This window comes from Homo sapiens, chromosome 9 (assembly GCF_000001405.40).
Source record: "Homo sapiens chromosome 9, GRCh38.p14 Primary Assembly".
In the NCBI taxonomy this organism is placed as follows: domain Eukaryota; kingdom Metazoa; phylum Chordata; class Mammalia; order Primates; family Hominidae; genus Homo; species Homo sapiens.
In genome coordinates this window covers 21,552,054-21,562,679 of record NC_000009.12, presented here as the reverse complement: position 1 = coordinate 21,562,679, position 10,626 = coordinate 21,552,054, and the positions used below count along the sequence as shown (strand labels likewise).

The 10,626-nt window shown below is 36.9% G+C and overlaps 1 long non-coding RNA gene across 4 annotated transcripts in view, besides 1 other annotated feature; it reads left to right on the top strand.

The window, feature by feature from the left end:
• The first annotated feature begins 2,881 nt into the window (after positions 1-2,881).
• The window catches only part of MIR31HG (MIR31 host gene), a 105,531-nt gene continuing 97,786 nt past the window's right edge, over positions 2,882-10,626 (top strand). For 2 of the 4 annotated variants that reach the window (NR_152878.1, NR_152877.1), the window contains exon 1: positions 2,882-2,932. This is a non-coding gene — a long non-coding RNA (MIR31 host gene). Of the gene's footprint in view, positions 3,192-10,626 lie in introns of all 4 variants that reach the window. The other 2 variants (NR_152879.1, NR_027054.2) reach the window with 1 other exon arrangement.
• Positions 3,321-4,107: an enhancer, noted in NCBI's record as "NANOG-H3K27ac hESC enhancer chr9:21558572-21559358 (GRCh37/hg19 assembly coordinates)". NCBI's record gives its function as "activates a minimal SCP1, AML or CMV promoter by ChIP-STARR-seq in naive H9 embryonic stem cells {active_cell/tissue: H9 hESC(naive)}" and the evidence as "EXISTENCE:reporter gene assay evidence [ECO:0000049][PMID:30033119]".

The following is a 10,626-nucleotide window of genomic DNA, read 5'->3' as shown; positions in this document are numbered from 1 at the left end:
CTTACATGCAAAAACATTTCTAAATAAGTAAACTAAAAATGAAATGGAAAGCACACTTTGTATACTTTCTGTTAATAATTTATTTTATAATTATTATAAATATTTATTTTGGAAAAAGATTGTTTTGGCATTTCTGTTCCCATTTGTCCTGTACTTCATGTGTGTGGGTGCATTTTATATTTATATTTATATATATATATATACACACACACACATACATATGTATACACACACATACACATATGTATCTTAAATACATATATTTAAACTTTAAATAAAATAAAGATTGTATTCTACTCTCTTCTGAAAGTCCTTGATTACCAGTGGATGTATAAAGACGTGATAACTAATACAGAACAAGTTTTATGGTACAGAAATTATTAATCACTAAAATAATACATTAAGCTTTGTAAGTAATATATTTAGAAATAATTTAAATGCCAGTAGAAACTTTGACTTATTTATTCATTTTAGGGTACAACTAGAAAATGAGTAGTGGTTCATCTTTTACTTGCAGGTAAAGGTTGAGGAGGAAATTCTCACATTCAAGATGATGCTGTCATTATAATGAAGTAAGATGGAACAAAAAGTTGTATGTGAAGTACCCTGGGCAAGCCCCTTTGATAGTTTTAGCTACAGATGCCTGTGTGTTTGCAATGTGGGCCTCTTATGGCTGTATTCTATTAGCTCTGGGTTTACTGTGATATTATGTATATTTGTCTTGGGCCAAACAGCTTGCTTGCCTCAGTTGAAGTCTAAAAGATACTATGGGCTTAAGACACTTTTTGTTTATTTGCTATTTGAGGTGAATTATTCCTTCTTTGCTTCTTTGCTATTCATAATATTATGATATATAATTTTGGCTATGCAATTGTGTAATCTTTTCTATAATATTATTTTGGGCTTCTGTATAAAAGCTTAAAAATATGTTCCACGAATGAGATGCTTATGCTTGTTTATTCAATATTTTTTTCTGTTGGACTTTGGACAAAGTCTTGCCTAGTGGGATTCACATATAAGGAAAGCTTTTTTTTCTTGTTACTCACAGAATTACGATGTTTAAAATAGCTATTTGAGTTCAATGATACTATACTTTCCATAATAAATTTAGAGTACTTTTTTCACTTCAAAGAATGCTTTTGAGTTTTCCATGAATAGGTTTCACTAACTACATTTTTAAAAAGACCTTAGCTCTGAGGTTTATCCTCTTTTACATCTTAAGGTACATTTTTCATGATTTCTAAAATATTTGCTTTTTAAAAATACTAGGACTGTTAATTTTAAAAATTCATTTTTCAAAATTTTCAGAAATTTTAATATTAAGAATCTGTTTAATTTTTTTTATTTCTTGGTCAAGGCAGTCATATGGTTTGAGATTTCTCAGTTCTTTAAAATGGGAGTTCATAAATTCAACCTGTTCTAAGCTAACTGTAGTGATTCCTAGCTGTCGTTTACTTAACACTATTAACCATTAAACACTACTGACATCTCAACTCAAAACATACACTTAGGTATAGGAAATAGTATACAAACATTTTATTTAACCATATCGTATGCAGAAAATTTAAAATTTGAATCTTTCTTATAGTCCTTGGACTCAAATCTTCATGCAAATACAATTTATATAATCAATTATATTTGACTTGTGTTTTTTAAAGTGGCTAAGGAAATGAGTACCAACTTATTAGGGAATATTTGATGAATATTTTTCGTTTTGGTTGAACAAATGACTACGTAGAGTTATATTTACTTCAAAATCAATAAAATACCACTATTAACCTTGCTCTGACGCTCCCACCCCCACCCTTCAACTCGTAGAATATTTTTTGGTGGTAACTAGACTGACCTTTGCCAAAATGTAATTACATTCAGAGAGAAATACAATTTTCCCCTTCAAATCCAGGTGAAAGGCTACCATGCTGGGCTTGCGGAGGGCATAGTTGAGTAGGACAGCCAGAACTTCTGGCTAGGTCATCGGGTCGGATTACCCTGCCATGTACCCCTCAGTATTTACTTCCAGAGATGGGCAACTTACTATAGTCTTCATGTTTAAGGAATTCAAACCCAAATGAAAAGTGTTGTGAAAGCATAAATATCTCTGCTTGTATACTACAGTACTGAATATGAAACCACATATTGCAATAAAAATAACTAACGATGGCCCATGCATTTCACAAGGCGCTCTCATACACCTGAAGGGGCAGTGGAAAGGTTCAGAGCACCCAGGCTGTCCCAAAGAGGGCGGAATCAAATCTGGGCGCAGGTGGGTACCCGGAAAAAATTCTTGGTGGAGATGGCATCTGAGAGAGGCGTCGAAGGACACGGAGGGTTGAGGATAGGAGAGAGGCCACTCCAGATGGAAAAACACCCTCGTTTTCCAAATGCCAGTTATACCACGGGGCCTGTGATAGCCGCCACGTTTCTAGAAGACCCCTAGAAGAGCAGGGGTCCGACCAAGGAAGTACTTCCGCTGTTCAATTTGCTAAGTTTGCATTCGGAGAGTACAAGGGCGAGCTCTGGCTCTTGCAGGTGGACTCCCTCTCCCTTAGCTCTGACTGCGAGAAGCTCCCACCCGCAAAGGGCTACTGTGCCAAAAGCGAGCGTAGTGGCCGCCGCTTCCCCCACAAAATTCCGTCACTCGGGAGCTGCGTTGCAGTGGAGAAACCTGGGTCCCGTCCGGGCCCAAGGGAGGAGGCTCAGCACGGCCGCTCCCGCAGCCCCGTCCAGGCGCCTCTTCCCTCCCCCTCCTTTCCGCGGCGGTCGCGGCGGCGGCTGGAGCGGGAGCCGGGGGCGGCGAGGGGCGGAGCCGGGGCGGAGCCACGGCGCTGGCGGCCCCGGCGGCGGCGGCAGGTGTGGATGGGGCGAAGGTGCGGGAACGTCCACTCCCGCGCGCCCCTCTCGGGGACCAGGGCGGCCTCCCAGGAGGAGCTTGGTGAGCAGCTGCGACCTGTGCATAACTTGGGGCGCCGCCAGGGGCTCGCAGGTTCCACGTCCGGCGCCTGGAGAAGGAAGACGCGCGTCCCCGGCCGCGGCGCCGAAGCCGGCTGGGGGACCGCCTGGTCCCGGGCCAGAGCTGGGAGGCGGTGTTCCGTGAGCCGCCTGGTCTGGGGTGCGGGGGGCGGGAAGCGGCCCCTTCGTGTGCGCTTGGGCGAGGCCGGGCGGCGCTTCTGTCCTCCTACTCGGACCCGCAGGTAAGCTGGGAGAGCCTTGGTCCCGCTGCGCGCTGAGCTGGCTAGGGAGGCGCCCCTCAAGGAGTTGAGGAGGCTTCGGGGCCTGGGCACACGGCAGTGGGCACACGGCAGTCGACACCCGGGTCCGAGGACCGCCGGCGCCCGTTGGCGCCCAAACGAGGATGCGCCGCGGGGTCCGGCGCATCCCGGAGCGCCGGCCGCCCTTGGCTCTTCGCGGAACCGCCGCCTCCTCTTGTCCAAATCTCAGGTCGTCATCCTGGCCCGAAGTCACAGGTTCGCTCTCTGTCCCTAAACCTCGAGGAAGGAGTTGTGTGTGTCCATGAGCGTGTTGGCGGAGAGCGCTTTCATACAGCGATGTTTGAGTTGAGCTCATTTTACCACCTAAAATTACTGTCACTTTAAAACTTAACTAAGCTTTCCCTTCTTAGAAGAGAAATTAGGCTTGTGGTTTACACCCATGGCTAGTAGGATTAAAGTTTGTTTTTGCCCTGTACAGCTGAGAAAATGTTTTGTAAAATCCTGAATTTTCCAACAGTACTTCTAAAAGAGCCTCCGATTCTCCAGCGAGACAATGGCAGTCATTAAAAAAAACACAGCGGAAATGTTCACTTAGAGCGGCTTCACTAGGAGAGAAGTTAAGGAAACCTTAGGCAAAAGTGACCCCTTAATTGACACCTTACAGGACCGTTTTTTTGACCTTGTATTAGTGGTAATAGGACTAAGAATGACAGCTCAAGAACTATACCTGGTTTGGAACTGAGGCTGTGGCCAGACGCCCCTCACTTTCCGGGGACCTCTAGTTTCTGGAATCGGGCCTTTGAACTTCCTTATTGAAATCCTGGCAGCTTTGAAGTGAAATTAGGAAAATGATCCTATTTATTCGCTGGAGTTTATTAACTCTGCATTAAAGTGTTTATCTCCTGGGCCAAAATTGAAACAATATTGTATTTTGCATTTTGTTTTAAATAAATTTTTACCAATTCAGGTAAAAATTGGATTTGAAAATGACAGTTAAGTCTAGGTTTATTTGTTGTCGAGTTTTGTATGAGGGGGCTGACTTTTAAGTTGTTTTTTAAAGTCCAATCCTGGTTATTTTTCATTGTCTTCAGAGGTTAATCTTTAGGTGAGAACTTTATCTTGATTTTAAGGCAAAAAAAGTAAAAAAGGCAGTGATTTAAGTCACCCAAAGAACTATAGTTCCTCCTTTCTCTTTTTTTCCTTAACTTGAGACAGAGCTTCCTGAAAATTGGGCAGCTGCTTTAATCTTATCATATAAAAAATGTTTCAAGTTGAATTTGGGGCCCTAAAATGGAAAATTTTGATTTGTGTTTGTTTTAATAGAATCATTAGACCTTATGGAATTATCAGCTTGGAGTGTTTATTTTCTATTTATACCATATTACTACTTTGTTGTACATGTTAATATTGCTTAGATGATAGGTAAATGTTTAGAGAAACCAGACTTTAATAAAGTACAGAATTATTCATTGGATGAAATTTTATAATTTTTCAGTCTTATAAATTCTGAAAAGTGTATAACAGAGACAAAGTGTTTAACCTATAATGTGGATTGTTGGCCCTTTTTGGAATTTTAAACGAGAAGGGAGGTATGAAATGCTTTATTCTATATTTAAGCATCTTTTTAGAAGTGGAAATAAATTGGAGGATCACTTTTATGTACAGTGTAATGGCTAGATAGCTATTCTAGAAACTACAACAAATGCTTGAGGAAGTAAAATTAGAAGGTAGTATAAAATTGTGTATTATATTTTTACAATTTCAAGGAGATTGCATACTTATAAATTTCATATCCTCAAGTGAAGAGTGTTGAACTGAATAAAATAGAATTTTTCTACATACCATGTTTTTCTCAGATTAAAAAAAATAGTCATCTTGGTTTGCCTAAAAAACTAAGCTGTAGTTAAATTTGGTTGGTACGTATTTGGGATAATTAAAAATACTTTAATTCATGTACTTTAACAGTTCTTTTCTTCAGTAACAGGTTTTTATAAGAAATGTTTTACTTGAAACATTGACATTTAATGACAGATGTCATTATATTTTTCATATAATTGCCACAGTTTTTCTTCATTGTGTGTATCTAGGTAGCTTTGGCATATAAACATCGGGGGGGCTCTAAACAAATTTTAACTGTAAAAAAGCAAGAGATGCAATCCCAGATTATTAACATTTGAGGAATGAAATCCAGCTTTAAGATAAAATGGCTTTTTGAAGACACTTTAAAATACATATAATGATAGGATTCTTAGAGAGTAATGTTTTTGGTAGTTCTTTTAATCATAAAATGAATTAACAAAAGAATTGATGCTTAAGTTTGAACAGCTTCTTGGTTTCACAACTATTTCCTTAGAAATAATCTCCCAAGTGATTCAGAAATTTTTATGGAAGTGAGGAAAAAAAACAGCAACTTTTGTTGGATCTAGGGTAGGTCAATCTTAACTAAGAAACAGCGAAATTTGATCTTTGTGTTATAAACTGTAGTTTCACTGAGGACTTCTTAACTATGTCATCTTTTTAAATACAATTAAGTGTTTAGAAAGTAAGTCAGTTATTTTATTTGTACAATATAAGTGCTTGCTGTATTTATGGATATTGAGGCTTTTTTATCCACATCTTATGTGAGAAGGCAGTCCAGGAAATTATTAAAATAATTTTGGTAAGAGTCTAGATGAAGGGGAAAAATCGATTGTATATATGTGTGCTGGTTTGCAGTATGGAGGGGAGTAAAAAGAGTCTGAGAACAAAACTTACTTTCGGACTTCCTAGAAGTTTCTGCTTTATTATGTAATTGAATTTTTTTGTCAGGATGTAGTTATTGGTTGTACTAAAATACAGCAGACAACAGAAAAAATAAATCTCATTTGAAAATCCTTAATCATGGCTTTATCGAATACACAGCTTACTCTATTTTGTCTAAATACCAGCTTCCAAGCTGTCAGCATTAATTTAGAAGCCAATTTCTAAATTAAATGTGTTATTAAGTAATTTCCATTTAAGAGCAATGTCCAAATAGCACTGATTCTTTAAGTAAAATAATAATTATATTAATAAAAATTATACTTTTGGGCAAATGGCAGGGGAAAAATGCCATTTTTATTGGCCTTGGAAACATTTATGCTAAGCAGTTTGTGGCCCAGTTTCCATTTCTGTGATTGTGCTGCCTCTGACAAAGGATCGACTACTGAGCGGTGAAAGATTGTATAGGGAAAATTAATAAAACCTGCTACGTGGGTTGATCATAGTTCTGCCTGATAAGCCTGAGTCCATATGAATCTGAGCCAGTTAAGAAGTTCTGAGTCTTAATTCCCCACAGCTCTTTCACATTGATTCCTGTGAGTTAGCAGTAGTGAAGGAGTCCCCTTCTCTGCCATTTGCAAAGCCAACTTCATGATCCGCAGCAAATCAAACCCACGAAATGTTTTGGTCTTGTCCAATTCAGCTTTACTTCCTTGCCAGGGGCATAACAGTTGAAGTTAAAAGACTTAGACCCAAATGGGAAAATTAGTGCCATTTGTGTATAGGCAGTAGCCTTGTTCATACTACTTTCAACCTAATTAGAAAGAAATAAAGTATGATTTGATTGTAAGTCCGCCAGGGTAGGTAGCATATAGGGGAGTGTGGCTCAAGAATCTAAGTTTTTCACTTATTTTGAATTATTAAGAGTTTGCGTTATAGTTCTCTTTTTTGTTTTACTTCTATAGAGTGCTTCTACAATTTGGAAGAGGGGAAAAGTACAATAAAATGGCAAATATTAAAGTGACCAAGAAGGCATAGCATTGGTTACAGAAAAGTTCTTTCACTTCTCCTTAGGTAATTCTGTGTTGGATTTTCTTCTTTGTATTTTAAATCTAGGTTCTTTGCTTAGAGGTAATTTTGATTCTGAGGAGGGTAGCAGGAAAGGAAAATGAACTGCATCTAAAAACCAGTGTAATCCGACAACTGACGTCTTATTTCTGCCAAATTTCAGGTGGACTTGGGCCACGTTAGTAAATTGGATATGTATAAAATAAGATAAAGAAATCATCTCAGAAAGTCCTGCTCTAGAAGCTTCTAGTATGTGAGGTGAGACTATTTTAGAGTCCAAGGTTTGAATACAAGCAAAGGATTGATTTCCCCAAAAGTCAAACTGGTACGATCTTACTATCTAAAATAACTTGAGATTTTTGAGTTATAGCACATGTTGAAGTAGAAATTCCAGTCATAAAGTCATTATTGAATGATTATCCTGGGGAGTTTTGCCTCACTGATCAAACCTTTTACTGATTATCTCAACTTCATTAACTAAATAAAAAATTTCATATAAGAAGCAGTGGACTAAAGCACTAAAAGTGTGAGTTCTCTGAAGTAAAATCCACATAAAGTAAATGAAGCCTTAAAAATTAGGATTTAAGTAGCTTTTAACTAGAGTGGTTTTTGAAGTAAAAACTGGTAATATTGTCACTTGACATTTTCTTTTCATATTCTGTGCCGTGACTCAAAACTCATTTCCTTTTTATAGGTGAGAATGGAAGTAGATAAAATTTGAAAACAAATACACAAACCCCAGCTTTTTTGCAGCTGGACTTTAATAATTTTATAACATGGCTGCATGTTTCCTAGCACGTTAACAGTGATAAAATTTTACATTGCTTTTTATGCTTTTGGAATTGGGATTAGGATGATATAACAGAATGAAAACTGCAACATTAATTCACTTTTCAAATGAATATGTTTATGCAAATTAAATGGAGGTCTTGAAAAACAGTAGTTTGAATTGTAATTCAAAGTAAAAATTACAGGTTAATACCTGGACTGATATGTGTTAAGTAGCTTTCTAATTGCTTCTAATAATCGAATAATTAGAATTTTATCATAACTTTTTAATCTCTGGAAATAAATTTCTAGTTTTTATATGAGGAAAAATTTAATGACATATTAATGTTATTAAGTATTAAATAATATAAGCTAAAAGATATTTTCTTTCAATACCCAGAAATGACTGAAAATATTTTTGTAGACAAAAGAAGACTGTATGGAAAGGTAACGGAAAGAGATATAAAAGACTACCCAACTAGATGGTTTTTTGAATAATAAATCTTTAATATAAATTTTATTTTTGCTGCTAAGAGGTTTTCAAATTCTGGAGAAATAGCCATAAATCTTATGAACTGACAAAGATGATCAAAACATTTTAAAGATTCAGCTTCCTTTTAAAATAAATGTATTTATCAATTGGTCAAAGCTAATGTTCTGTATTTCCTTTTGTAAATTAACACACTGTCAAAAGGAAATATAAAAATGGAGAGCTAGTTATAGCCCAGTTAAGAATAATTTAAAAAACAGATTTATTTGAAAAGTAAATTTTCCTTTTGAAGATGTTCGTTATGCTAATCGTAAGTGTTGGTGGCCTTTTTGTTTTGCAAAATTTATTGAAGTAGAAATGATAAGACCACATATTTCAGAATAATGGGCAAGTTACTATGTGTTAGATAGTTCTATTAGCTAAGCTATAAACATAAATTTTACTGGAAATATTAAAATATAAATGGAAATAAATTATTAAAATATAAACAGAGCCACATAATTGACTGTTGTCTACTTTTATTTCAGATCACATCTAAAATACTAACTAGAACTAACACAAAACTGTTTTCTAAAACTGCCAGGGTGTCAGCTTCATCCAAATATTTTGTTCAAAAGTAAATATTAAAATAAAATGCATCCAACTCTTCTGATTGTCAAAGCAGTGATAACAATTATAGCGCTTTCTGTTGATCATTTCCTGGGTTCCATGCTTTACTTATATTACCGCAGATAAGCTTCAAATAACCCTCCCATCTAAGCGCCATGATTGTTCCTATTTTACAGAGAAGAAAACTGGCCTAGTGAGATTAAAGGGGTCAGACAGCTAATAAATGGTGTAGTACTGGGACTCCAATCCAAGTCTTTCCTATTTCTATGTCTCTGCTCTTAATTACTTTGTTATATATCACATTAATTAAGCAGAATATCTGTGGAACTCTTCTTGAAACCTGTTTGGGAGTCATTTGTACAGCATTTTGGATGTCCTCAGCTATAGCACATATTTTAATTTTTATTTTTAGAACTAATTCAAAGTCCTTCATGTCCAAGTCTGGCAAAAGACACAGATGGTATAGGTAGTAATTAATGTTTATGACCAAAAGAGGCAGATAGTGTCTTTAAAGTACTAAATCTGATATTTAAATTTTCTCTGAAGACCATACTAAAGGAACCATATAGATCATTGTTTTTAGAGCCATGGCACTGGAATTGGAATATAAGTATAGTCTTCGAGGCACCTAACCCAAAATTGGTGTTCATTGAACATTTATTAAAACAATGAATGAGACAATGAATAAAAGGATAATATGTCTTTGCCTATGAAAATTATAATATGTGCTTGCAAAGTATAGTAACAAGTGTGGGTAGCTTATCATTAAAAATGATAATTCCCTCTTCATTATTATCACACCTGACCTTTGGCGTGGATATATAGATCTTGTGTGTGGGTATAAAGTCTGTTGAAGTTGTGGACTTGAGACAGAACTGTCAGAGCCAGCCATAATTAAGATGTGTGCTGAAACAAGATTTCATAGAACTAAATTCACAAGAGAAAAAGTAAAAGCCAAAGAATAAGGTGGAAATGTTGCTTTGCTAGTATTAGCAAATAGTATTCACAAATAGTATTAGCAAATAGTATTTGCAAATAGTATTTGCTAGTATCCTACTATTAGAGGAAGGGATCTGGGTTGCCATGCTGAATCTCTAGTGTTTACTCCCATGTGGCTTTGGGTGAGTTGCCTGGGCTATCAGTGTGTAAACTGAGGACCCACTTCAGGGCTGCCTAAGAGTTTTTAAAATCTTCAAGGTCTCCTTGCTAAGTTTCACGTGACTGCTGTTACTGTAACTCTTCTAGGGAACTTATGGGAACTCCACATGCAAGGACACTACCATTCCATACACACACACACATCCATATCCAGGTGAAGCACTACCGGGACCTATGCTTTCCCTTTGGCTCTAGTCTACCTTCCCTCTCAGAGCTTCCCCACTGCTTTCTATCCCTGATGGCAGAGGAAGTTGGAACTAGTTTTTATTTTGTGGTGGTTAATGATCCTGCACTCCTGAATAGGGTAAATGCAAAGGCCCTTTTCAGGGCTCACATTTTGCAGTGTCTGAAATTCAGCATGGGGACACAATAAAAGAACCAAAACAGAGGACTAAGCAGTGAACGGAGTCAGTTTGCAAATGAAACAAAACAGTGATTAAAATGCAAAGAAACAAAAGGAGCTTTAATAGCAAAAACATTGATAACAGGGTATGTTCAAAGGTCAAAGCAAAAAGGTTAAAGACAAAACTAGACAAATTTATATGATAAATTTTATAATGGAAAATGGCTTTTAAATAGTAAAAG